The sequence below is a fragment of the Homo sapiens genome, chromosome 10 (assembly GCF_000001405.40).
Source record: "Homo sapiens chromosome 10, GRCh38.p14 Primary Assembly".
Lineage (NCBI taxonomy): Eukaryota > Metazoa > Chordata > Mammalia > Primates > Hominidae > Homo > Homo sapiens.
Genome location: NC_000010.11, coordinates 71,711,532 through 71,737,950, shown reverse-complemented (window position 1 = coordinate 71,737,950; position 26,419 = coordinate 71,711,532). Strand labels below are relative to the sequence as shown.

Here is a 26,419-nt window from a genome sequence, read left to right as displayed (position 1 = left end):
CTGCAAGGTGGCTTGGTTCCAGTGGGTAGAAGGGCAGATGGGGAAGGCATGTGAATTTCTGACTGTCAAATAAAAACCGGGCATGCAACAAATGGCACGCAAGAGCATATTGTTTTGTGTCTGTGGCTCGGGCTTCTTGTGGAGAGGCAGGAGAGTGAAGGCCTGCCGCGGGTGAGGCCTCCAGTCCACGGACGGCCACAGGCCACTGCGGCTGGAATCACAGGTACCCAGGGGTTCACTGATGAGGGTGTGAGGGGGGTTGGAGGAGCTCAGGTTTTAGGTATCCCAGGACAGGCCTTCTCCCACTGCCCTGCCCCAGGCCAGACCCCATTCTCTGCTTCCCTGCATGTGGGGTTCAGGGGCTCCCAGGTCCTGCTGACTCTGCACAGGACTCATGGGGAGCCGGCTAAGCCTGTGCATGCTGCAGAGGAAATTCCATGTCATTCTTCCTTCTATACAGGTTTGACTGCTCAGTCCCAGCCACACTCCCCTATCTGTAGGCAGCTCTCAGAAGTATAGGAGAGTGAGCCTGGGCTTCGCAGCTAGGCCAACCCAACCACTTATGAGCTGCACGATTTTGGAAAAAGTTATTCAAGCTCTCTGATTTTCCATTTCCTCAGCTGAAAATCAGAATGACACCTGTTGGGAGGAATAACTGAGCAAACAGAAAGTGAAGGGGTGGCACCTACTCTTCCCTGTTCCTGCTTCCTGCCTGGCAGACATTCATGATTTCTCTTGCCAAGACTCTACCCATCTGTCATGAGTTTTGCTATGGAGTTCCCTGAGGTCCCTGAGCCCCAGTCCGCCCATTTGAAATGGGAAAAACAATACCTATCACACTGTTCTCAGGGTGAAAACAGACAAGGGTCCTTGTGATCGGATCCCTCCCAAACCCCCTCACTCTAGCTAAGGCCTCATTTAGACTCACCGTGTTTCCTCACACCACAGGGCTTTTGTGCTTGCCGTTCCCTCTGCCCGAAATGCTCTTCCTTTTTAGGCTGGGTTAACTCTCATGCATTCTGACGCTCTCAGCTTGAGTCCCTTCCTCAGGGAAGCCCTCTTCTAGTTCCCTGACACCTTATTATAGGCTTTCTCTCAGGGCATACATTTACTGCTGTGATCATTTGATCAATGTCTTTCCCTCACTGTATCGTACACTTAGGAAGGCAAGGGATATGTCTAATTTTGGTTTCTTGCTGTAACCTGAACCCAGCCTAGTGCCTGGGACACAGCAGGTGTTCCCACAATGACTACTGCTCTGATCTTGGTGAGGCTGCAAGGCAGGGGTGAGGGGGGCTGCTGGACTTCCCAGTGGAAGGGGGTTGGCCTCAGTGGGTGAGGAAGGAGGACAGGTTCCCAGGCCTATGGGAATGAGATGGGTGTCTGTGTCTTCACCCAGGGCCTCACAATCCACATTGCCCTCCCCTACCCCCTGAAGGCCTGAACTTACTCAAGAGCTCTTATAGCAGAGCCATGCCCTACCCAGCCTGCCCCTTCTGGTCTGCCTGACCACTCCTTCTGGGGCCGGCCAGGGCTGCTGGGGACAGGGAGGAGCCAGGTGGAGGTGAGCTGTGGTTTGGGTTCCGGCCTAGCAGAGGAAATGTTTCCACCTTTAAAGGGCCCCTTCCTCTGCCTCCACCCTAGCACCTCAAACAGTGTTTGGGGCTACCGGGGCTGGTGGATCTGGGGCAGCGGCCCCTGGGAGCCTCTCAGAGGAAGCCAGGGCAGAACAAAAGGGGGTGGGCCCTGCTAACCGGAAGAGGGCAAAGCACTGTGGAAATACAGGGGCACAGGCAGAAGTGTGTGCTCCGAAGCCCTCAACAGCCGTGCTGAGGAAGTGGCTGGCAGTCCACGCAGGGGGACCTCCTTTCCATCCCTGCCACCCTTGGGCTCCCACTGGCCTCTCCTCCCAGCCTTCTCGCAACACCTGCTGTGTGAGGGCCAGGTGGGCCCATTGTATGAATGAAGAGGGTGAGGCTCAGTAAGAGGGTCCCACTTTACCCCTGAGTGTCTGCCCCTTGGCTGGGAGTGGCAGGACGCAGGTGGCTCGGCACCCACTGCCCGAGCGCTCTGCTCACCGGCTGCCCTTGGGGAGCATAGCTGAGGGGAGCTGTGGAGACTTCTTGCCCATCACAGCCTCACTCACCCCCAGGCTGGCCCCACGGATGGAGGGGGCCTTTAGGTATGGCCCAGCCACAACCAGTGCCGCTAGAACTGGGCACCTCCAGGGAGCCTTGGGGCCAAGAACCCCAAGAAATTGTGTTTGGCTCTTGGCTTGGACACTGAGTTGGCTTCTAGCTTTTTTAGGTTAATGTGACAGGGACTCAGCAGGGCGTGGCAATGTGGCTGTAACCAAGGCTGATGAGGAGCCTGATGCCCCAGGTGGTCTCTAGATGGTAGCTGATGTGACTGGCCAGTGTCCAGGCCAGATTGATGGCTGAGTGTCCTGGGATCACCACAGGATGCCATCCCATGGACCTCTCTCAGGTAGCTGGCCCTGGACCCACTCCCATTGCAACCCCAGCATGAGCTCCCCTGCCTGCCTCTCCCTTCAGGCCGGGCCGCCTCTTCTAGGAACGTTGTCTGGCTCTTCTGACCTCAGTGGGCCCCCCTCCCCCAGGGGCCCAGCACATGGTCTTCTCTGCCTTTACTTAGAGGCTGTCCTGAGGGAGAAACAACCTGTGCCCATGGTCCCCTTCCTAAGCGCTCCCAGGCCCCACAATGTGCATCCCACCCCACACACTTGCACCAACCCCCAGGAGAGGGAGGGGGTCCCCTTTATGGATGCAGCAGCTGAGGCATCAGGACAGAGCCCCACTGCAGTCACATCTGCTTCCAGGACTGGCTTACAAAGGGCTTTCTGCCTGCAATCTCTTGCTGCTTCCATCTCATCCTCTGAGGATGGCAGGGATGCTGGCATGACCCTCGTTTTAGACCCGAGGAAGGGAAGCACAGAGACGTTAAGCAGCTTGCCTGTGTCACACAGCCATCGAGGAGTGGAGCTGGGATGAGCCCTCAGTGGTCTTCCAGTGACTCCTTTGCTAGTACTCTCCCCACCCAAGACCCTACCGGGGCTAGGCAAGACACAGAGGACAGAGTTGGAGGCAGGGGACATGCCCCAGAGGGGCCTGAACTCAGGTGTGAGAGTGGAGGCACTGGGAGGGGGCCTGCTGCAGGCCTGTCCACGTGCCTTCTCTCTGGGAGAGGTGGGAAGGTCCAGGGCCAGGCAGAGCCCGGCCAGCACTGGCCACAGCCAACAGCACAGGGGAAGCTCCAGCCACAGGCTACTCACCTTCTGTAGGCAGAGGCAGCAGCAGGAGGGGAGTGAGAGAAAAGGCAAAGATGCAAATGGTTAGCCGTCTGTGGCTCTTCCAGACCCCACTCCCGGCAGTGTCTCTGGAGGTGCCACCCTCCACCTGCCTGAGGTCTCATCCTAGCCCAACCTGCTGGGAAGGTGTGGCATGGCTGGACATGGCGAAGCCTCAGGCTATCAAGACCCTCGCCCGCTGCCTGGCCCATACATTGGGTGGCTGGCGAGGACATGGGTTAGGAAGTGTCATGGCCAGCGATGGGCCGCACCTGAGGGACTCTCACCCTGGTCCCACTCACCACGGTGGAGTCCACCTTGGGGCCGCCGTCATCTGCCACCACTGTCAAGGTATAGAAGTCGCCCTTCTCACGGTCCACCAGGCCCTGGACTGTGATCACACCCTGCAGGGAAGGGGCCAGATGGGTGAGTGACAACATCGCACCCTTGTTAACCCTGGTCATTCTGCCCACTTTTCCACCTCCATGTCACTTCCTCTGTCCGGCATAACTTCCCCAGGACACTCTGTCTGTTGAATTCCTTCTTCTCTCTCACATTCCACTGGGAAGCCACCTCTTCCATGAAGCCTTCCTGCTTCCCCAGCCAGGTATGACTGCTGGGCCCTGAGGGGCTCCACTACCCCTCTGTTGTAGTTCTCTGCACATCTTCTTGTGGCGCTCTGATTTGCATCCTGGATTAGTTCCATTTCCACTTCTAGCCTGAGAACTCTTTGAGGACTGAGAAGGGTCTTGTTCATCTTTGTGTCCATTTGTGTTCCCAGTATCCTCTAGGACAAGGCCTGTCACGTTGTAGTGATTCACACCTTGCCTACTTTCAAAGAAGGAATTCTGATAAAAGATACACTAAAGCAAAGACGAAGGAGTAAGAGCCTGGCAGTAGATAAGAGACTGGTGTACCAGACAACTAGCTAAGAATAACTATTGCAATGAAGCCCAGCATTTATGTCTGAGCTTCCTAACAGCCAAGGTGAAAAGGGAAATATGACTTGCAGAGCTTTCTGTGACATTGTGATATAAGAAATATGCATTTGGTCTCTGTCCCTGGTTCCTGGCACAAAGCTCTTAATCCCCTGGCATTTCCTAGGTGATAGGAGTCTTTTGTTCTAATGAGGCAACTCTTGGTGGGGTCCTCGGTTGGGGCTGATCACCAGAAAGACCAAGCCAGGATAAACAGCTTGAAATGTTCAGCCCTGCCTCTACACCCTTTACTTTCCAGGAAGAGGACAGAGGCTGGAGATTCAGTTAATAATTGATCGTACCTATGTGATGAAGCCTCCATAGACATCCCTGAACTACAGAGAGCTTGCAGTCTGCTGAACATGTAGGGGTGCCTGGAGGGTGGCATGTCCGAGGAGGGCACCGAAGCTCTGGGCCCCTTCTCCCATGCCTTGCTCTGTGTGTCTCTTCATTCAGCTGTTTGTTGGTATCCTTTAGACTATCCTTCATAATACTTTGGTAATAGTAAGTAAAGTGTTTCCCTGAGTTCTGCAAGCTGCTCTAGCAAATTCATCGAACTTGTGGAGGGGGTTGTGGGAACTCTGATTTAGCCAGTTGGTCAGAAGCATGGGTCAAACAACCTAGAGGTTGTGATTGGCAGCTGAAGTGGAGGCAGTTTTGTGAGACTGAGCCCTCAACCTGTGGGATCTGACACTATGGTGTCTACTGGAGAATTGCGTGGTGTGTGGGAGGGACTGAGCTGTGAGCCTGTGGGATCTGACGCTAACTCCAGGTAGAAATGTTCAGAATTAAATCAAACTATAGGATTCCCAGCTGGTGTCAAGAGAGTCAGATAATTGGTTGCCGATAATGGGGGAAAACCCCACACACACTTCGATGACCAGAGGTGAAGGATCTGTGATGGGTGTGAAAACAGAAGGAAAAACAGAAGGATACCAGCCTGCATAGGTATAAACTTTATCTTACTCCTACATATGAAAATGGATGTGTTACAGGGATATTGATCTCGGGGACTTTTTTTTGTTTCTTTGTAAGAGACAAGGTCTCACTCTGTTGCCCGGGCTGGAGTGCAGTGGTGCAAACGCAGCTCACTGCAGCCTCCAAACTCCTGAGCTGAAGCAATCTTCCTGCCCCAGCCTCTCAAGCAGCTGGGACTACAGGTACCTAACACCACACTTGGCCATCTCAAGGACATTTTATGACAAAGAGGAGAGTGCTGTGCACACAGAAGGAGCTCAACCAATGTTGGTTAGATTGGAAGAAATGGTGCTCCCTGCCCCCAGCCCCTCACCGTGATGGCGTCTATCTTGAAGAGGGCTTTGGCCTGGGTGCTGGTGTAGGCGTTGAAGCGGTACGTGATTTGGTTGAGGTTGTCGATGGAGTAGGCCTGGACCCGCACAATCTCAGTACCCAGTGCCAGATTCTCCAGGATGGCAGCCTCGTATGAGGCATTGGAGAACTGCACGGCCTCGTCCAGCTCGTTGAGCAGAGTGATGTAGACGCTGCAGAAGCCCTGGTTGAAGGGCGGGGCCTGGTCAGTGGCCGACACATTCATCATGTAGCTGGTCTTGGTCTCGTAGTCCAGGTAATTCACGGTGATGATAAGCCCTGTGCTCTCGTCAATCTCAAACTTCCCCTCTGCGCCCGACAGGATGCGGTAGTTCACCAGGCCACCATCCCCTGTAGGAGGACACAGAGGCTGTGCAGTCCCAGATAGAACTGAGTGGGGCTGCGCTGTGGCTTCTCAAGCTGCCACACCCATACCCCCTGGGTGGCCCACCCAGCATGGGCTGCCCCACCTCTGCCGGCAGGATCATCCTCAGAGATGCAGCAGAGGATGTGTTAAGGTCAATGTGGATGGCAAGGTCCAGCATGCACTGTTGAGCCTTCCTCTGGGGCTTGGCCTTGGCACCAGAGATAGGACAGAAAGAGTTGGGTCTGCTCCTGGAGCCTCAAAATTCAAGCTCATGTACCTCCCTTTGATATCTGGACATACAAGCATTGGGGGAAATGAAGGATCTCTTGTAGTGGAGGCTTTGATCTAGAACGCATCCTCACAGATGGCCAAGCCTTGGTTTGGTCCCTTCGACAGAAGGGCTTCAGTGTCAGGGACACCTTCCCCCATCCTCCCCACTCCCTACGCCCCAAATTCCTGTGCCTTGAAACAAACCATTCAATCAGGAGCTAGAGCTGGGATTCCTAAGCTGAAGTTCACAGACCTCAAGGGGCCACAGCCGCGTATGTGCCCTAAACTCTCCTAACATGCCTGAGATTCCGCCTGAGAATTTGCAGCCATTCCTCCCTCCACCCCATCCCATGCATGCCACAGATAATCTGAGGATGCTGAGAGAGGAGTTGGGAGCCACCAGAGTAGCTGACATGAAGGATGAGCAGCTCAGGGAGCCTCTCTGGGGGACAGTGGGTCTCCAGAAAATGCTCCTTTTCAGCTGTATCCCTGACTGGGGTACAGGCCAGACAGCCCAGGCCGCACGGAGGGCCACAGAGACCCGGCATGCTTCCCCTTCATTTTGCACTGCGGGCTGTGGCCGCCTCTGGGGCTTGGGCCCTCAGCAAGGTTCAGGCTGCCTTCAGGCTACTGCCCTGCGGCACAGGAAGGGTACTGCCCCTTGTACAGGGTCAGGGGGTCTGCGTGTGCTAGGCCCTGAGCTGGTCCTGGAAGGCGTGGAGGGGCTGGAGGAGCAGGCCAGGCCGCAGCCAGCTTTCTGACCGGTCCTCTTTACCCCTCCCAGCTCTGCCCAGCCCCTCTCTAAAGGCTAGTGGGAGCTGCTGGGTCCTGGGATGACGGAGCTGGACTTCTCAAGCTTGTGGCCTCCCCTCTGTCCACCCAGTGGTTGGGACAACTCTCCCTGATTCCAACCCTCTCAGGCTGGGGCCACTGGTGGGAAGTGATCAAGACCATCCCAGCAGCCCCTCCCTGGCCTAGACATGGCTAAATGGGGAGCCTGAAGCATCAGGGATGACCGTTTCGAAGGAGGGGCTGGGTGAGCTGGGGAGGTTTGCTCTGAGCAATGGGATCCCCGGCTTCCTCCTGCCAGCCTCACCAGAGTCTCGGTCTGTGGCTTGGACCACGATGACTGACGTTCCAATGCCTGCGGTCTCTCGAAGCCCCAGACGGCTGTACTGCTGCTGTGTGAACACGGGGGCCTCATCGTTGATGTCCTCCACGTACACAATCACCTGTGGGAGCCGGGCCAGGGGTGCAAGGTCAGGGTGGGGTGGAGGCTGGGAAGCCCAGGGCTTGGCCCACTGTGGCCGCCTTGTGTGGTCACTGCTTTCCTGGGCCTGCTGTGAGCTCCCTCTAGGACCCCAGGCCTGTCTGGTGGGTCACTGTGACCACCACCTTGCACAGCACCTGGCGCGTGGCAGGTGCTCAAACATTACTTGTTTCGGAATGAACTTCATCTTGCTCTTGGCTTTTTGACTAATGCTGTGGAACATCTGACTAATTAGTGACTCTTTGGGGCCCCCAGTTTCCCAGCTATAAAGTGGTAATATTAAGATAATAATTCGGCCGGGCGCGGTGGCTCACGCCTGTAATCCCAGCAGCACTTTGGGAGGCCGAGGTGGGCAGATCACGAGGTCAGAAGATCGAGACCATCCTGGCTAACACGGTGAAACCCCATCTCTACTAAAAATACAAAAAATTAGCCGGGCGTGGTGGCGGGCGCCTGTAGTCCCAGCTACTCAGGAGGCTGAGGGAGGAGAATGGTGTGAACCCGGGAGGCAGAGGTTGCAGTGAACCAAGATCGCGCCACTGCACTCCAGCCTGGGCAACAGAGCGAGACTCCATCTCAAAAAAAAAAAATTAATAATAATAAAATAGTTCACACTCCATGCCACTCCTAAGGTTGTTATGAAGACAAAATGAGCCAGGGCCTGCAAAAGTTCTTGAAAAAATTCAAAGTGATCCCAATCAAATATTAAAATATATCTTGGAAAATAGAGGTGAAAATACAATGGCAGTTGTAGTAGAGAATGTCAGTGCTCAGTACTCTTTACTTGTGCACCTTCTCACGGCCAGCTCCCAGCCCCTAAGGCTCTTTGGGGAAGACCAACCCCACCCCACTGCACCCACACCCGGGCTGTTGGAAACCAGCCCAGTGAGCAGAAATGCCTGGGAACTTCCGTCCCCTAGGGCAGCCCTGAGCCAATGATTGATGGGCGTGGAGAGCAAAGACTCCAGCTTCCCTGGCCCTGTTTGGGGCAGTGAGGGGACGCTTTAGGGCTCCCTGGGGGACGGAGGCCTAGCTCCCTCCATGACACTTTGCTGTCTGTTTTTCCTTGCTGGTTGCACCCTGTTCCACCTTTTCCTGTGGGCGCTTCTTACACATTACTTTCACACCAATCCTTGTCTCAGGGTTTGCTTCTGAGGCCCCCATCCAAGGCAGTGGCTGTTTCTGAATTGTGCAATTACGCACCATTTTCCTCACCGCTTACCAGCACTAAGTTCTCTTTATGAATGTGTGCACTGTACATCATGAACGTAATACAGTTTAAAAGGTGTTTATGGAGGCCAGGCATGGTGGCTTTTGCCTGTAATCGCAGAAATTTGGGAGGTTGAAGTGGGAGGATCTCTTGAGCCCAGGCATTCGAGACCAGCCTGGGCAACATAGTGAGACTCTGTCTCTACAAAAATTACAAAAAAAAATTAGCCAGGGGTGATAGCACGCACCTGTAGTCCCAGCTACTAGGGAGGCGGAGGCAAGAGGATCGCTTGAGCCCAGGAGTTTGAGACCAGCCTGGGCAACATAATGAGACTCTGTCTCTAAAAAAAATTAGCCGGGGGTGGTGACATGCATCTGTAATCCCAGCTACTAGGGAGGCTGAGGCGGGAGGATTGCTGGAGCCCAGGAGTTTTTAGCTTTTAGCTCTTTGCTCTATGCTGGGGTGAGCTGGCCCCAGAACAGGAGAGGCACCCTCTTCCCAGCCAAACAGAGCTGGGGCCGGTAGGAACTTGCCAGCAAAGTAGAGAGGGAAGCAAATGGGGAAGGGGCTGTGATGCCCCATACAGACTTTGCATGTGGTGACCAGCACTAAGGGAGGGGCCTCTGCATGTGCAGCAGAGGCGTGTGTGTCTGGCATCTGGTCACTGCCTCTGGGATCAGCCCTGCTTTCTCTTTGGGGATTAGCTGGGAATCAGCTGGAGAGAAGTGACAGAGCTTCTGGCTGGTAGAAGCCGAAAACAGCAGCCTGACCAGTGGAGGACTCTGGGGTGGGGAGGGTGGCAGGGCTGGGGGCAGAGAGGCATATGGGTGTAAAAGTTTCTCTGCATCGCTGCTTCTAGGGTTCCCAAAGCTCTGCTGTGTCATTAGAATTTTCATGTCCAGACACCCAGAACCCACTATGCAAACTAACATGTCCACTCCAGAGCACAGCTGTTCACAGGCTGGAACCTAAATTTGGCTTCACCCAGAACTTGGCTGGGGAAGATCCTGGGTAGGGTGGGTGCGGGGGGGAGTTTGCATGGATGAATTTCAGGAACTCTTTTTCGGTAAACAGAAACTAACCACTCCTCTTGCAAAACTGTGCGCCTTACCCTTCCTCAATCTGCTTGTCCAAATGACCTTGACTCCAAGGGTTGTGGGGAAAAAACAGGGCCAGGCTGACAGTACAATGACAAGATGAGAGAGGTGGCAGGGAGCTGGGGTGTGGCCTGTCCTCCATGAGTCTGGCTACATGCCACCAGCCTCTGGTCGGTTTCAGCCTGTTTTTAGCAGCAGAGACAGGAGGAGGCAAGATGGTTTGCAAACCTGAGAGGCACAGATGTACAGGAAGCAGAGGTCTGTCAGGTTCTTGCTGAGCAAGTGGGAGCAACTGGGCTTCCTGGAGAACCAGACCTGCTTTCTGTCCAGTGCTGTGCCTGTCCAGTGCTGTGCCAGTGCAGTGCTTTGCCTCAGTTTCCTCATCTGCAAAATGGGGTGCTAGTGGTTAGGAGGACAGGGAGAGGAGGTGTGCGTGGGCATATGTGCGTGTGTGTGTGTGTATGTGTCGTGAACACCCTGAGACACCCAGTCTCTAAGGGGACTGTCTCACTCTGTACTCCCCGGCCCCTCACTGGGGCTGTCCCCGGTCTCTGAGGCAGGAACTGGAGGATGTGGATGGTTCCTGCAAGCCGTCTCTCCCCTGCTGCTGGGAAAATGAGTCCAGCGGAAAGCCAGAGTCCCCACATTGCCTTCAGGAAGGCCCCCAGCTCTCCCGGGTCTCATGGGTGTGGAGGCTGTGTACTACAGTGCCACCAAGCACCTGCCCCAGGGGCCAGCCCTCAAATTCTCACCTTAAAATTACCCTGTGGGGATGAGGCAGTGGTTTCTGACTGGGCTTTGAAGAGGCTTATGTGAGGCAGTGGAGTGTAGTGGTTAAGGGGACAGGCTCAAGCTGGCTGCCAAGGCATGAAGCCTGGCTCCACCCTTACCGCTGTGTGACCCTGAACAAGTCGGCTAATTCCTCTTTGCCTCAGTCTTGTCATCTGTAAGATGGGGGTATTAACAGTGCCTACTTCATAAGGCTATTATGAGGGTTACGGAGGTTAAAGTACACGAGGCATTTAGAAAAATATCGGGCACGTGTGAGGGTTTATTATTCCTCAGGGTTCAGGGGAGACGGGCAGGACGTAAGTAGCTGAGCAGGTGTGGCTCTGGGAGCCCCACCCCTGCACTGATTGTCACAGTCTGGCTTCGATCTGTTTTACACTGTACCCTGGGATGCTGCATATCATTTTGTGTATACAGAAGGTTTGTGGCTAAAGGAGGTTTGCAGCCACAATGCTGAGGCACTGATGGGAGGAGGCAGGAGCCCACCACGCCTGGGTGAGGGAGCGGGGAGCGAGGGCCACATGGAGGGCTGTGGTTAGGAAGCCTGAAGTCTGGAGACCCAACCCCAGCTTCGCTGACATCAGTCACTCTGTGCCCTGAAGTAGGCCCCACACAAGGCAGGCTCTGATGAGGGCGTACTGACCAGCCCACGAATAAGATTCACAGTCATGCAAGCCAGCATGGCTATGTGCATGTCCAGGTTACTGTGTCTGAGTCTCCATCACCAGGGCCCTGTAAGAACCAGGGGATCTGACCCTCTCAGCCATTTCCACAGGGCAGGTCTCACTCAGGGCAGTTGCAAGGACCCAGGTGTCTTCCCAGCTCTTCTTGGGGCAAAGCGTTGGAGGTGTCAGCAGGAGCTGGGTCAGGGCTGAGTCACCCACCCCAGCACAGCCCCTGAGCAATCAGACCCATCGTGTTTGTGATCGTGAGTACCCGGTGACCACCGCTCATTGTTTCCAGCCTGGGGGAAGCAGGGGGTGGAGATGGGGCTGATAAGAGGAGCCGGGCACTCAGTTCTGGGTGAAAGTCCCTGCTTGCTCTGCCTGACTCTTCCCATCTCCCTCCTACTCCTGATGTCTGGGGTCTGACTCACTGGTTTAGGGGAAGGGGCTGGGGGCTGCTGAGTGTGTAGGGGTGGGGGTGAAGCGGCCTTGAGAGGTCATCTCATTCATCTCAGTCATCCCCCTGCTGGCGGTAGTACACATAACACAACCAGTGGGAACATCTGTGTGTAGGTTTTCAGCCATTCGGGAGGACTAAGGCTGATTTGATTTTGGCTGCACAGATAAGGCTGGGCAGGAAAGAATACATTTGATGAGGCAGCTGGGAGAGGTGACTGGAATATATTAGGGTCACTTTCATTGGAAAGGGCACTGAACTTGGATTCAGAAGATGGGGGCTCCAGTCCTGATTCTATCACTAGCAACTTCTCTGTGCCTCAGTTTTCTCATCTGTAAAATGAGGTTAGCATCTGTACCTCCAAGATCACCCAAGTGAGATTTCCTTGACTTACCCTAGAGAGCTCTGTGGATACAGGGGTTAGTACAGTAAGGACACCTCTTTCATCCCTTAGGACAGACATCAGTATCACTGACTCCTTTCCACAGCTGGAGGAACAAACTCACAGCAAAATGACAAGTCCAAGTCCCAGGCTGGGCACCTGTCACCGAACCCTTAGGCCCAGATGTCATTCAGCACCTAAATCAGTGGTGGCCCTGCCCACACCAGGCGCCAACTAATGGCCTTCTCTGTTCTAGCTGTGGGCTTGGCCCCGTCCTGAGGTCAGCACCCCAGCCCGCCCCTAGCCTCACCCTGACGGAGCTCCGCATGGGGCCCAGGTCGTGGTTGTAGGCCTCCACTATCAGCACGTGGGATGAGTTCCGCTCCCGGTCCAGGGGCCGGGGCCCTCGCATCAGGAGCCCATTGCTGACATGGATCCGGAAGTTGTTGCCATGGTTACCTGTGTGGAGGGACAGACCCCCTGGAACACCGGCCCTGCCCAGAAGTCTCCTGCTGTGCTGGCCTGCCATGGTTGGGGGCAGAAGTTCACCAGTCCCCTCCTTGTGAGGAGGCTGCGGGTCTTCTGGGACACAGAATTCACAGTGGAGAGGAAGCTGGAGGACTCTGTGAGGTGGGGCAAGGCAGACAGGCCATCCCCAATGCGTTTCACCTGCTCCGGGAAGGCCTGCAGCTCTTTCCTGAAAGCCTTCATCTTGGTGTTGATGGTCCCCAGCAGGTGGGGCTCCTGCTGGTCCCCCTCGCCCTGCTCCTACACCCACAGATGTGGGTAGTGTGAGGCCTTTTTAATATTTCAGAAGAACCTGGGGCACTCCAAAAAGAGGGACTGAAACCAAATTCTCCATGGGTGGTTGAATCCAGGATTTAGTGGACATCTCAGGGCTGGTCCAGCACTCATTCCCCCATCTTTTGGGCACAGCACCCTGATTTTTCTTTGGGGATCTACTCTCCTCTACTGTCAGTCCATAACATTTGTGGGCAGTGACTTTACCCCTGATTCGAGAAGTGGGAGGATCAGCACATTTTATTCTCTGGCCATAGCGATTGGTTCAGGGATGGGCACTGGATTCTGATTGGACCAATGAGACCCAGTCCCTGGGGAGCGTGCTGCTGGGGGCTGCCCTGGGCTCTGGGCCCTCTCTGTCAGGGCCATGGCTTTGGGAAGCTCTGCAGGACAGCAGGACTTCAGGAACACGGCAATCAAAAGCCAACCCAGGGGCACGGTGGCTCACGCCTGTAATCCTAGCACTTTGGAAGGCTGAGATGGGTGGATCACAAGGTCAGGAGATCAAGGCCATCCTGGCTAACACGGTGAAACCCTGTCTCTACTAAAAGCACAAAAAATTACAGGCATGCGCCTGTAGTCCCAGCTACTGGGGACTGAGCTACTGGGGACGGGAGGCTGAGGCAGGAGAATCGCTTGAACCCAGGAGGCAGAGGTTGCAGTAGGCCGAGATCACGCCACTGCACTCCAGCCTGGGCGACAGAGGGAGACTCCGTCTCAAAAACAAATAATCAAAAAAGCTTCCCCCTCACCCACCTGGTGTGAATAAGGAGAATGTCCCTGTTTCCTCCCTCTGGCCTCGCCCCATGTATATGGCCCTGGGGGTTCTCTTGGCCTCATCTCCCAGACCTTTGGCAGCCTAGAGAAGCTCTGCCCTCCCCTGGGCAGGAGGACCGCCCCCCATCCTAGGGCAGCCCCACTTACCATGGAGGATGCGGTACCACACACGCCCAAACTCGCCCTCATCTGCGTCCGTGGCTTTCAGCTGAGGAAGAATGAGACACGAGTTACTTCTTGAATGCCACCCAGCAGGGAGAGAAGAGGTTTTTAGAGTTCCTTTCCTTCCCTTCACGCATCCTACCCCATCCTGCCAAAACCTGTGGTCTCCCTCAGAGGCTGGGGGTGTGGGAGACAAGGGGACGTGTATGTCTTTCTAATCCCCAAGAGGATGTCCGACCGCTGATGGCCCCTGCAGCCCTGTCCAGGACCAGCTCTGCCCCGATCCTCCTCCAGGTTCGCAGGGAGGCTGGGGGAGAAGGTGAAAGATGGCACTGCAGCTCGCTGGGTCCAGGCTTTCTCAGGCTGTTCCATCCCTCCACATTCCCTACCCGGCAGCCTTTCAGAGCCCAGGAGCCTCTCCCAGGGTGGCTGAACTGCATGGCTACTTCTTGCCCGCATTTCCTTGGCCTGAAGTTATTCTGGCCACACTGGGTCCCAGCCGGCACTGTACACTGTAACGGTCACTTCGTGGAAGCCCAGGAGCCCTCCTCCCACACAATGGCTCCATGCTCATTCACACGCACCATCACCCCAGTCTAGCTTCAGATCGGCCTGGCTGGCGTGGCTGCGACTCAGGCTTATGTGTTTATGTGTTTCCTCTGGTGGGCTTGTGTGTGGGGGGGGACGTTGTTGTCACTCTGAGACACTGCCTAGTGCTCAGCCCTTTTTACAAGGAGTGCAGCCTCGAGGCTACTGGCAGAACCATAGCTGACCCCAACATGAGTCCTGTCAAGCCAATAACTGAATACCTACTTTACCCACTGCCCACCCAAAACAAGTGGAGAACAAACACCCCCCAGGGCAGTGCAGGAAGAGGCTAGACCCTCCTATGACATGCTGTCCTGTTGGATCTGTGGTGAATTGCTTTGTAAGGCCCTGGGCTCTCCCACTTCTTTTGGGTCTGCCCCTTCTTGTCTCACCACCTCTCACTTCAGCCCTGTGGTGTGCATGGGAGCTGCCATTTTCTTCCTGACCCTGCCAAGACGGTCAGAGGGGATTGGTCCAGGACTGGGTGCCTGATCAAAGCTGAGCCAATCACATTCTTCTCTGGGATTGTTGACCTTGGGCCCAGAGAGATTGAGTCAGTCTTTCTAGCAGTAAAATGTGGGAATATCAACAGCCCCTCTCTTGCACATCCCTGGGCCCCACTTCCCACCACTCTCTCCTCTTAACTGCCCTGGCACACTGGTCTCCTGGCTGTTTCTTGAACACCAAGCGTGTGCTGGCCTCATGGCTTCTGCCCTGGCTGTTTCCTGGCAAGCTCTCCCTCCAGATATTTGCATGTTCATGCCCTCATCTCCTTCAGGTCTTTGTTCAAATATCTTCTCCTAAGACCCTCCCTGAGCACTGCATATGAAATTATAGCCCCCACTCCAATGTCCTGGCCTTCCCTACCCCTGGTCACCCTCTGATACATGCTATCTTTGCTTATTGCCCATATCCCCACAGGAAGAAAGGGCTTTGTGCACTGCGATATCCCTGGTCTCTGGAACAACAATCCTGGCACACAGTAGGGTCAAATATGTGAACGACTTAGGAGCAGAGCTCCAGGGAGAGGAACTAGGCTGACACTCAGTAAGCACGAATGCAGGACACATACAACATTCAGCCCTGGTTTGCATCCTTGGGCCCAGTTATTCCAGGAGCCCATCTGTGCCTCGCTCCCTGTTTGATTTTTCCTTTGATCCTGTAGGGTATCCCAGTATTGCTACAGTACACTTCTCCTTCTGCCTAGATTATTATTATTTTTTTTGTAGAGACAGGGTCTTGCTATATTGCCCAGGCTGGTCTCGAACTCCTGAGCTCAAGCAATCCTCCCGCCTTGGCTTCCCAAAGTGGTGGGATTACAGGCATGAGCCACCATGTCTGGCCCTGCCTAAGATAATATAGAATGGATTTTCTTTCTTGCCACCCGAAGCCCTAATGTAGGCTTTCCTATCGTTGCTCACTGGACAAAACTGCAGAGAAGATGGGGATGGGTTCCTGCTAGCAAAGATCAAGAAAGCAGTGAAGGTGGGATTGGCTGAAGGTTTCCAAAGGAGGGAGCTGGGTTTGGAAGGATGGAGGAAACCTGGCTTAGCAGAGAAGGTTGGGAAGAACATTTGTGCTGGGAAACAGTGTTAGCTGAAGTAGAGGCAGCTGGGGAGGCTAAGGAAGGAACTAGGACCCCAGTCTGGAGTGAAGGGCTCATGCAGGGACAGCAGAGGGCTGTGGTTGGAAGAGTGGAATGACAGCCTCAATCAGCAGCACTGATGCCCTGGAACCTCCACAGGACAGGGAGTATAGACATGGTGGTATGAAGGCAGAGCGAGGAGCCTGTAGCAGGCGCTGGCCTCGATGCACATCCGGGCACTGCGGTAAGTGTGTCTAAGGATTCTGATGAGCATGTTGATGGTGGGGAGGAGGACGAGTACACTGGAGCAAAAAGAACAAGGGCCCTGGGTCAGGCACACCCAAGCATGAATTTAGGCTTTGTCACTTACTCTCTATGGCACTATGGATAAGTACTTTAGCCCCCTTGAGCCTCAGTTTTCTCATCTCTAGACTGGGCACAATGATGACCAGCCTTGCAGGGTTGAGGGGAAGATCAGAAGTCATCTTGCAAAGCGTCTTGGCTGGTGCCTAGCATGGGGATGTGTGGTGAAGGTCAACATGAGTGATGCCACCTTCTCCAGAGAGCCCTCTGGATTTATGCCAGAGCTGGGGATGGCTGGATTGCCCCTTGCCGTGCAGTTCTTTCTCTCTCCATTCCCTGAGAAACCTTAGGAGCTGGCAGGTGGAGGGATGTAACAGGGTGCTTCAATTGTCCAGATCTGGAAGGGCTCAGGATGGTGAAGAGAGCCACGTTGCCCAGAGCATGCCCTTGCATGCCTATCCATGGTGAGATTTCCTTGATGCCTCCCTGCTCCAGCAGCCTGCACCACCCTGGAAGCTTTGTCTTCTGTCATCTCAGGAGGAATGGGGGCCACAGATGAAGTGTTCAGTTGGTTTCAGGAGAGGAAGTTAAGGAAAATGAAGGCAGTGAATGCTGTGATGGAAGGTGCAGGAATCCCAATGGGGACTCTGGGCATTGAAAACACCTTTGGGCCGGATGCTTTGCCTACCCTGGATGCCTACTGCCTGCCCCTGCCCACCCAGCACAGGGGAAACACCAAGTCCCCCACCACTCACTTGCTGGGTGCCCCTGGGCAGGTCACACCTCTCTGGGCCTCAGTTTGGTCATCTGAGAGAAGACGGGGGCTCTTTTCTCTCAGAAGAGGAGTTAGATGACCCCTGAGGACCTCTCCAGCTTTAACAGTCCATAGGAAATCTCTTGTCCATCTTGGGGTTGGCAGACAGTGCCTCTTTTTATGGGCAAGGGCAGGAGGGAACAGCTAAAAACCAGAAACTGGGGCTCCAAAAAAGGGAATGGGTCTGAGGCTCAGGTCTTGGACAGGGCCATGACTCCTGTCTTGAGTTGCATTTCTGGGAGCTTGGAGGTCCCTGGTGGGGAAGCTGCCAAAGACTTGGGCTCCTAAGCAGGCAGCTGGTTGTCAGGGAAGCTCTGGCTTCTGGGGAGAAAGAAGGCTGGGGGAGGGAAGTGTGTGTGTGTGTGTGTGTGTGTGTGTGTTTTGGAAAGAGCCTCCAGTGGAGGTCTCCCGTGGCCCACCCGCACTGTGGGGAGCATGGCCTTGGAGGTCCGTCAGTCCTATGCTTTCTGCCCTGGGATCCCCCTGACCTTTGAAGATGCCCCTCACCCCTCGCTTCTGTAGCCAGACACCTTCAAAGGGAAGGTGCTTTTCTACAAGCTGAGGGAAAAGCCTGGAAGGAATGGGGCCCAGGGACGCTGCAGGAGGGGCCTCAGGGGCTGCCAGGGACCAGCACTCTCCCTGCTCCCCTCCTGCCATGGCTTGTAGCCCCTCTCCAGGGTAACCTGGTGGCTGGCAGGCACTGAATAGCGAACCTCTGGCTGCCGCCGACCATACCATTCAAACTTCCGACAGGGGAAGGTGAGCGCCATGGGGCCGCAGAGGCAGTAAAACCCTCCCCCTGCGTCTCCCCAGAGTCTTCCACCCCTGAGAGGGCTCCAAGGAGACAGGCTGGAGAGAGGCGGTGGGAAGGCCAGGGGGCATCCCAGAGTCTCTGGACAGCTCCCCTCTCCCTCTTCCCAACCCAGTTGCCATCCCTACTCCCTTAGCTATCCCCTCCCCCAAGGCAGGGCCCAAACTCTTCTAGACAAAGCCAGGTCCAGCTGGGGAGTGACGGGGAGGCCACTCTGCTGGCCAGGCTGACCGAGGGCTGCAGGGCACAGCAGAGCCTGGCAGGGCTGGGGTCACAGGCACTGCCCAGGGCTCCTTGGGCCTCCCTTCCACAGCTGAGAAGACCTCTCCACGGAGCTCCGGACGGCTGGGGTCTGGCTCTGAGGTCAGTGCTTGGGGGACTGCAGGAGAAGGCTTGGAGAGGGAAGTGTGGTGGAGACCCTTGCTGGGGACTCCTGGGAGAATGTGAGGGTATGCTCAGACCTAGGCAGTCCTCTGGTTCTGTAGAGAGGGGAAACAAGGCCCAGTAAGGGGTAGGGACTAGCCCGAGGCCACACAGCAGTCTTCTCTGCCCACAGCAGGTCCTGCTCTGTGGAACTCCAAGGGAAGAGGAGGGTCCTAGACTGAGCTTGCAGAGATATGTCCAGAGCAGGGCCCGCTGGTGCACCCTGGCCCCAGTGGGAAGGGAGTGGCTTCAACTGCCCTCCAGATGATTCCTGGCCTTGGTCCGGGCAAGGCATCCTCTCCCAGTACTAGCTGGCCTTTGCTGGTTGGTCAGTAGCCGGGTGTCAAGGGGCCTGGCAGCTGGACTTGCCTCGTGCTCCAGGAAGGGTGTTGTGTTGTTTTCAAGCACTTAGGAATCTCTCGTTGCCACAGGAACTACTCAGATGCTAATTACAACTCCACTTATTTTTTTTTTATTTTTTATTTTTTTGAGACAGAGTGTTGCTCTGTCGCTCAGGCTGTAGCGCAGTGGCATGATTCTAGCTCGCTGTAGCCTCAAACTTTTGGGCTCAAATGATCCTTCTGCCTCAGCCTCCTGAGTAGCTGGGGCCACAGGCACATACTACCACACCTGGCTAATTAAAAAACCTTTTTTTTTTTTCTTTCAGAAATGAAGACTCACTATGTTGCCCAGGCTGTTCTCAAACTCCTGGGCTCAAGTGATCCTCCTGCCTTGGCCTCCCAAAGTGCTGGGATTACAGGTGAGAGCCAACACGCCTGGCCTCACTTATTTTTTAAATTAAAGCAGGTCCCAAGGCCTGAAGCCTGGATCCTATTTGCTAGCCCAGTAGGGTCTCCAGATTCCTTTGAAGGCCTTGAAATAACATTAGAACTAGTAGGATTGAGGCATCTCCCATTTCAGACTGCCCTTTTCTTACTCCTGGCCAAGCATTGTCCAGGGTAGGAGAGAGGGATGGCTGATTTTCTCCCCACGGGAATGAGCGGTGGGCACACCCCATCCCTCCTCCCTGCTCAGACTCAAGGAAAGGCCAACCCATGCACAGCTGCCCAGCCAGAGTGCTCTCTAGGCCTGATGCCGCAAAGGCGGAGGCCCTGGGCAGCTAGACGGGCATCACACTTTCCAGCCAGGCACTGGGAGGGGTCGTTTTCTGCCTGGAAGTGCTGGGAGGGGTGGTGGTGGGGAATGGGTGGGAGGTGGGGTGCTCTGCATGCCCTCAGTTGGCTGGGCGCAGGGAGCCAGGAGTGAGGTCCTGCGGCTGCTGGTGAGTGCCTGGGGTAGGGACAGGAGTCCCTCGGGTGGGGAACTAGGTGGCCCACTCCCCTCCCCACTACCTGTGGCAGGGTTTCTCTGAGCGTGACCTGACATCTTTCCTCCTCCTGAGCTTCCGTGCTAGAAACTCAACTGTTATCTAAGCTGCAAGCTGGGAAGGAGGAAAATCTGCTATCCCCCACCCTCATGAAAAGGAAAGACCCCAAGGTTAAAGGGAAATCATGACTTTTTATCAGACCCCCTGGGATTGCTTGTCCACGTCAGTAGAATTTAAATATCACACATGCTGACCTGCAAGCTGGACGTCCTCTGCTTATGTGTTTGGTTTGGCCTGTGTAGTGTTTCAAATATTTGAAAATTCATTTCACATTATTTTGAAATCAAGTTTATTTGGCTTTTGCTGTGTTCTCCCCCACCCCACCTCTCTTCTTTCTTGCCTTCAACAAATTTGAATTAGCTGCCAACATTTAAACGTCTAGAATGTTTGCCTTTAAAAAAATCCAGATTTCTGGCTTCTCTTGGGAAACTGACAGAGCTGACCACACTGGGCCTGCACTCCGGCACTGACAGCACCATTCTGGGCTGAGGCCCCTCCACTTCCTTGAGAGGGCCCAGCCAGTGCTCTCCAGGTGGCCCTGCTCATCTGTACCCTCTGGTCATGTGTTATCTGCTGGCCAGGATCTGTGAGCATTTTTATTACAACCCCAGACATATTGAGCCAAAAGCTCAGCCTGGTTTTCCATCGACAAGGACCGTCTGCTGCACTGCGTCTAATGGGATGATCTTCAGTGGGAAAGGAAATGCCCTGTCAGGTGTATGATGTCCCTGGGGGGTTTCCAGCCCCCTTGTCAACTCCTTGTGGGTTTATTTCCCACCTGTTCCCAGAGCAGCTCACTGAGCTCCGAAAGGGCTGGGGGCCAGAGGGGTGGCAAGGCCATGGGGCCAGGAGTCAGGAGACCTGCTTCTGACCTTCACTTGGCCATTGGCTCACAATGTGGCCTTGGCCTTCCCACCACCAAGCTGCCCCACCCCACCCTACTGTGACCCACAATGCAGCCAGCCAAGCCTTCCCAAGGAGTGAGCTCTGGCTTGTCACTCCCCACCTCTAAAACCTTCACTGGCTCCCTAATGCCAAATCCCCTCTTCGGACCTCAGTTTCCCACCTGTCGTGGGAGCAAGTTGGACTGCATGGGGAAGCAGTCACAGGAATCCCCACGGGGCCAGGCAGGTGAAATAAGGTGTGTGGTGGGCCTGTGGGGGAGGGTGGGGAGCTGGAGGTCAGTGCCCTGTCTACAGGGGGCAGCGGCTGCTCAGCCCCAGACACAGGGATGAGGCAGGAACATGGGCCAATGCCAGTGGTGAAATTCTGACATTTCAAGAGAATTCAGGCACCCATATATTTTTGTGAAATCTGTTATTATTTTGAAAATATTCATAATTACATTGATAAAAACATGGCAAGGACCCAACTAAACACACCCGTGGGCCCCCAGTTTGCAGCTTTGGTATTAGATTACTGCTAGGGACCCTGGCAGCTGCGGCCTCTTACCATCCATAACTCGTTCCTGGCCACAGAGCAAGTTATTGACAGAGTTGGTCTTAAGTTTCCAGGCCTAAGACCCTGTGATGATTCATGAGGATTGATTTGAAAATGCGGACAGGCCACCGCCCTCTTGTCTGCATGGCAGATGGGCACAGGGTGGAACAGGAAGAGGGCCTGAGCTTGGGCCCAGCTCCATCACTGCTCAGCTGTGTGTACACTTAGACTTGTGATGTCTCTGGACCTTGCTGTCTTAACCTGTGATGTGGCCATGATGCTGTCCAGTTTAACAGTGCCTTGCCCCCATCCACATTCCCTAGGTAAGTCTTCCCTATACCCGCTGCCCTGGGTCCAGCTGATCTGCCTTTGAGCTTCTGTCTTGTTGCTGTTGCAGGAGCCATGAGCACAGAGGGCCCCAGCCTCGCCAGCTCCCCAGCCATCAGCCCCCTCGCCTTTCTCTCAGCTCCCGTCACTCCCGGGACCCTTGCAGAGGCAACTGACCCCCTCCCCATGCTCATCGCCCTGGCCTGCATCTTCCTCCTGCTGGCCACCTGTCTGCTGTTCATGACGCTCTGCAAGCCGGCCGCGCTGGACCCGAGCCGCCGCAGGGCTCACGAGTGCATGCCCCACCACCCTGGGAGCCCCAGTGAGCCCCAGCTCCGGCTCTGGAAGCGCCTGGGCTCCTTGCGCCTCTCCCTGCACAGCTTCCGCCATGGCCGGCCCACCGTCCCTCGACAGCCCCTGCCGGGCCCCGAGGACAACCGCAGCCACTGTGACTACATGGAATCTACCAAGATGTAATGGGGTGTCCACAAACATGCCCCCACATCCCCCTAGGTCTACCTGTAGATCCTCCTGCTTCAGAGACCGGTGCTGCAGGCTGCAGGAAGACAGTGGCCCAAGCAGTCTGGGACACACACTCACCCCCCGAAGCTCCTTGCATGCCCAGGCCAGCGCCCTTTCCCAAAGATGATCCTCAGAAGAGCACCTTCCTCTCTGCAGACCCCCTCGCTGCTGCTTGATGAAAGACTTCTGGTCAAGAGATGTGCACTCGTGGTCATCTGGGCCTTTGGCCTGAGGCTCCACAGGGTACAACCTGGGGCTCGTAACCACCTCCTAGAAGCAGCACCCTCGCTCGCCACAGAAGCCTTGCCCTCCAGGTGCCAAAGCCCAGCATGGAGAAGTTGCCAAATGGCAAAGGTTCCCTTTAGTCAAGTGAAATGCTCAGCCTACACCGGGGCCAAGACACTGTCCTGGCATCTGTGCTGGCCCAGTGCTGGGGCAAAACCTCGGGGCTCTCTTCCTTGGGTTTCCCGGGTGCTGCCAGCATCTGCCTGGTGCCCTGTGGGAGCAGCTGCCTCCCTCCTGGTGGAACAGATGCCTGGGTGCCAGCTGGGAGGAGGAGCAAACAGGGCTCTCCAAGCATGGTCTTGGCAGCCGTCTTGGTGGCCCCTCTTCAGGGCACCCACGTTGGGATCAATCAGGAAGGGATTGAAGATGATCGAGGAGGCTCCCTTCAGAGGCCAGGGCGGGTGCTGTGACAGAGTGGCAAGAGGCAGGGCATTTCCAGCAGCTGGAGGTGATGCCACCTGGACTCGGAGGAGGACAGCTCACAGCAGCTCCACACCTCACCCAGGGAAAGCGGCAGCCTCCCCGAGGGTGGGATGGTCTGGACCTCTCCAGGACAGCTGTGGGGTCCCAAGTCCTGCCCACACTAGGGATGCTATCTGTGGTTTTGGTGAGTGCTTTGCTGATGACCCGTCAAAGCAGTCCCACCCCAGGATGGGCTTCTCAGAATCCCAAACCCTTGACCTCTCCTCACAACGCGAGGGTTAAACACTTTGGTCAGGTCCCAAATTTGAAGGGTGGGCAGAGGGAGGACCTGGGCTGCCCAGCTCCTGTCCCAGTCAGCTGGCCAGGATCCCACCACAAAGCTGCCCCACCCCCATCCTGCTGTGACCCACAGTGCAGCCAGCCACGTCTCCCCAAGGAGTGAGCTCTGGCTTGCCACTCCCCAGCTCCAAAACCTTCACTGGCTCCCTAATGCCAAATGGATATAGCCAAAGCTCCTCAGCGCAGTGTGCAGTGCCCTCTGGGAGCTGGCTCCAATTAATCTTTCTAGCCTCATCTTGATCCAAAACTCCAGGAAAACTGAAAGACCTGTCACCCACTAACTGTGGCTTATGCTTCACACACACCCACTCTGTGAAGCCCTCCTGCCTGGAGCCGCCCCTACTGTCTCCTACCTCTCTTGGGGAGGAAAAGGAACATTCTCTTGGCAGCATGGGTCCTTTTTGTCTATGTCTTCTCTTTCCTACCAGCTTGGGAGCTTGCAGAGAGCCAGACATTGTCCAGCCCCTCACTTTGACTCCCCAGTTCTGTGCACAGAAGTATGAGGCTTCTGTGTACAGAGTGAAGCGTGGCCCAGCCTGGGTGTGTCCCCACCCTCTGAGGCAGGAGTCTTGGTGGAAGCTGGCATAACACAGAGCCTCATCTTCCCTCAGATGACTCTAGAAAGATTTCTCTCCAAGCAGGCTCTATTGGAGAAGCCCACTGTCCCTTCCTTCCAAGTCAATCTGATCTCAAAAAGTGAGTCCGGCTTCACAAGAAACTTACCAAGAGGACCTTGGAGAAGTCATCCTGAGACGCTGCATTTCTCCCTGAGAAATGGGAGAACTCAGGGCTGCCCTATATTAACTCGCTGGCTCTAGGATTTCAGTAAGAGTAGTATTGTGTAAATAGAAACCAAGTCTTTGGGTTTAGAAAGTGGGGCAGGCCTCCTCCCTAAGGGTTTTGTTCCTTCCTCCCTTCCTGCTCAGTAACCTCTTCCTGGTTTGCTTCCCCTGGGGCCTCCCTGCAAATCCTAGGCTGGATTCAGCCTGTAGCCATCCACCTCACCAGCAGGCCCTGCTGGCCACTAGGCACTGTCTTCCTGGAGGTTGGGGTGGGGGTTGAGGCTGCCCTGAGGCCTGAAGAAGGAAAAGTCCAGGAGGGGGAGGGCTCTCAATTGGGTTTCAGGCACCAGGCCAGGGGGGTATGCTCCAAGTCCTCACAAGCTGAGGCCCTGATCGAGAGAACCCTCTACTTCCTCCTTCTGGAGCTAGCCACCACACTCTCGCAAATCCTCAGGGCTTTCTGGGCTCTCTGTGTTTCTGGGAGTCAGCTCCCTGCTCCCCAGCCCTTTCCTGCCCGCCTCCTGGTCCCGATGCAGGGAGGGGAGCATTGCCAGCCTCCCACGCTTCTGTCCCTCCCAAGCCCGGGAGCCTGCCCCAGTGGGCAGGCCCAGATTCCCTGTTTGGCTCAGCCTCCGAGTCGGAAACCCCATAGTTGGTAAAGAGACTCATTCACTCCGGGCCTCCCTCCCCACCCAGCAACTGAGGCCTCTGGGCAGAGGTGTGGGTGCACACCCAAATTGTTTTCAGGGTCCTCCCTTCTCTCCCTCTGAGCCTTGGAGCTGTTGCGCCTGCTCCCTGGGCAAAGGAGCCCTTTCTTCTTGTGCCTGTTTACTTCCCAAGAGGGGAGCCTCGGCCAAGGGCTCTGTGAAAGCAGCTCTGTTCTGGGCCTTGCTGGGCCCTGGCTCTCTTCTCAACTCCTTTCCGGGAAATTGTGACGTCTCTTTCTCCCCGCTACTCTGAAAGGCCCTTCTGGGTGGGGCGGGAGATATGCAGGGGGAGGCCAAGTCTTCCTCCTGTTTGTGGGGAGCCAGAGCCCTATCCTCAGCTCTGCAACCTGGGGGCCCACACTCCCTGGGATGGGAGAGGGCCTGGGTCCCCCTTTCCCCACAGCACCTTCCAGAGCAGCGGACCCACCCTGGGCCCCCACCTGCTTCCGCCTCTGGTGCCACTGAGCATGTGCCCTCAGGGCCGTGTGTGGCTCCGCCTCCCCCAGCCCACCACCTGCCCCAGAGGCCACGGGCCACCTGCCTGCAAGATGCTGTGGCCTTCAGGGATGTCCTCAGGGACGCTGGCCTCATAGCTGCTCTGCAGAAAGATGGGCCGGTTGTCATTCACATCCAGGACAGTGACGAACACGGTGGCTGTGCCCGTGTGTCGCTTCCCTACAGGGCCGTTGTCTGTGGGAGTTGAAGGAAGACAGGTGTTAGCAGCTGCCTGAGAGAGGGGCACACTTCCTGTGACTTTGCACACTCCCGGGCACCGGCCAGAGAGGTGCCCTGTTCCGCCCCATCTGCCCTAGCCTTTGCAAGGGGTGACTTCCTTTTTAGCTTAGGAATAACACTAACAGTATCAAATACTTAGATAACACCATGTGCCAGCCATTCTTCTAACCCATTCAGTCCTCACAGCAACCCCATGAAGCAGACACTTTACTGTCATCCCCATTTTACAGAGGAGGTAACTGAGGCACTCAAGTGGATTGAATGATGGCTCCCAAAAAAAACAGACCCATGTTAAACCCCTGGGAACCTGTGAAGATTAATTTATTTGGGAAAAGGGCCTTTGAAAATGTAATTACGTTAAGGATCTTGAGAAGTGATCATCCTGGGTGAGCTGGGTGGCCCATAAACCCAATGGCAAGTGTCCTTACAAGAGAAAGGCAGAGGGACATTTGAGACAGAGAGGAGGAGGCCACATGCAGATGGAGGCAGAGGCTGGAGTTATGCTGCCACAAGCCACCGAATGCCTAGCGACTCCAGAAACTGGGACGGTCAAGGACTGATTCTCTCTAGAGCCTTTGGAGGAAGCGTGACCCTGCCGACACCTTAATTTCTAACTTCTGGCCTTGAGAACCAGGAGAGAATACACTTCTGCTGTTTTAAGTTTGTGGTAGTTTGTCGTGGCAAATTTAGGATGCAGATACAGGTACTAAGAGCAAAAAGCCAACTGCTGTCAGGGACTGGCGGGTATAGCACCTGGGTCAAACACCTGGATGGGCCCCGCTGGAAGGGCAGCTGTCCTCCACTCCAGTCCACAGCGGACAGGCAGAATGTGGGCCCAGAGACACCAGATCTTCTGATTTCTCATGAGAAATTGAACATCTGAGCTTTTAAATAAAATCTCCTGATCTTTAAACTTTCACAACTAATGGTCATTCTTTATAAAATATTGGATAGGTCAAACAAACGTCCCCTCTGCATTCAGGAACACGGGCTTTGCTTGGGATCTAAGCTTAAGGTCCCCGGAGACTCTGTCCCTCCAGTTCCCACAGGACCCTCCCAGGGCTGGGAGGTGGTGAGGATGGGGCACT

General features: G+C 55.3%; 2 protein-coding genes across 4 annotated transcripts in view, besides 7 other annotated features; one reads left to right on the top strand and one right to left on the bottom strand.

Annotated features, from left to right (window-relative positions):
• Nucleotides 1-26,419, bottom strand: part of CDH23 (cadherin related 23) — a 419,028-nt gene that overhangs the window by 77,997 nt on the left and 314,612 nt on the right. The window contains exons 28-34 of one of the 2 annotated variants that reach the window (NM_022124.6): nt 25,138-25,286; nt 13,846-13,906; nt 12,431-12,579; nt 7,347-7,482; nt 5,576-5,964; nt 3,610-3,711; nt 3,293-3,295 (exon numbers count right to left, since the gene is read on the bottom strand). In NM_022124.6, coding sequence (NP_071407.4) covers nt 3,293-3,295; nt 3,610-3,711; nt 5,576-5,964; nt 7,347-7,482; nt 12,431-12,579; nt 13,846-13,906; nt 25,138-25,286 — 989 coding nt within the window. Of the gene's footprint in view, nt 1-3,292; nt 3,296-3,609; nt 3,712-5,225; nt 5,965-7,346; nt 7,483-12,430; nt 12,580-13,845; nt 13,907-25,137; nt 25,287-26,419 lie in introns of those variants that run through there. The other variant, NM_001171930.2, reaches the window with a different exon arrangement.
• Nucleotides 101-26,250, top strand: C10orf105 (chromosome 10 open reading frame 105). 2 transcript variants are annotated; one of them, NM_001168390.2, is made up of 2 exons: nt 101-223; nt 21,609-26,250. In NM_001168390.2, exon 2 carries the CDS (start codon nt 21,614-21,616, stop codon nt 22,013-22,015), a length of 402 nt encoding a protein of 133 aa, NP_001161862.1. In that variant the 5' UTR covers nt 101-223; nt 21,609-21,613; the 3' UTR covers nt 22,016-26,250. The 2 variants fall into 2 exon arrangements, with proteins under 2 accessions (NP_001161862.1, NP_001157847.1); NM_001164375.3 differs by lacking the exon at nt 101-223 and adding an exon at nt 18,173-18,324.
• Nucleotides 8,270-8,461: a silencer, noted in NCBI's record as "fragment chr10:73489247-73489438 (GRCh37/hg19 assembly coordinates)". NCBI's record gives its function as "represses an EF-1alpha promoter that drives an FKBP-Casp9 reporter gene in an ReSE screen in K562 erythroleukemia cells {active_cell/tissue: K562}" and the evidence as "EXISTENCE:reporter gene assay evidence [ECO:0000049][PMID:32094911]".
• Nucleotides 10,695-11,467: an enhancer, noted in NCBI's record as "H3K4me1 hESC enhancer chr10:73486241-73487013 (GRCh37/hg19 assembly coordinates)". NCBI's record gives its function as "activates a minimal SCP1, AML or CMV promoter by ChIP-STARR-seq in naive H9 embryonic stem cells {active_cell/tissue: H9 hESC(naive)}" and the evidence as "EXISTENCE:reporter gene assay evidence [ECO:0000049][PMID:30033119]".
• Nucleotides 10,695-12,426: a biological region, named in NCBI's record as "CDK7 strongly-dependent group 2 enhancer GRCh37_chr10:73485282-73486481".
• Nucleotides 11,227-12,426: an enhancer, noted in NCBI's record as "CDK7 strongly-dependent group 2 enhancer chr10:73485282-73486481 (GRCh37/hg19 assembly coordinates)". NCBI's record gives its function as "activates an origin of replication core promoter dependent on BRD2, BRD4, P300/CBP, MED14 and CDK7 cofactors, with strong dependence on CDK7, by STARR-seq in HCT116 cells {active_cell/tissue: HCT116}" and the evidence as "EXISTENCE:reporter gene assay evidence [ECO:0000049][PMID:35650434]".
• Nucleotides 11,468-12,239: an enhancer, noted in NCBI's record as "H3K4me1 hESC enhancer chr10:73485469-73486240 (GRCh37/hg19 assembly coordinates)". NCBI's record gives its function as "activates a minimal SCP1, AML or CMV promoter by ChIP-STARR-seq in naive and primed H9 embryonic stem cells {active_cell/tissue: H9 hESC(naive and primed)}" and the evidence as "EXISTENCE:reporter gene assay evidence [ECO:0000049][PMID:30033119]".
• Nucleotides 18,036-18,784: an enhancer, noted in NCBI's record as "H3K4me1 hESC enhancer chr10:73478924-73479672 (GRCh37/hg19 assembly coordinates)". NCBI's record gives its function as "activates a minimal SCP1, AML or CMV promoter by ChIP-STARR-seq in naive H9 embryonic stem cells {active_cell/tissue: H9 hESC(naive)}" and the evidence as "EXISTENCE:reporter gene assay evidence [ECO:0000049][PMID:30033119]".
• Nucleotides 20,701-20,898: a silencer, noted in NCBI's record as "fragment chr10:73476810-73477007 (GRCh37/hg19 assembly coordinates)". NCBI's record gives its function as "represses an EF-1alpha promoter that drives an FKBP-Casp9 reporter gene in an ReSE screen in HepG2 liver carcinoma cells {active_cell/tissue: HepG2}" and the evidence as "EXISTENCE:reporter gene assay evidence [ECO:0000049][PMID:32094911]".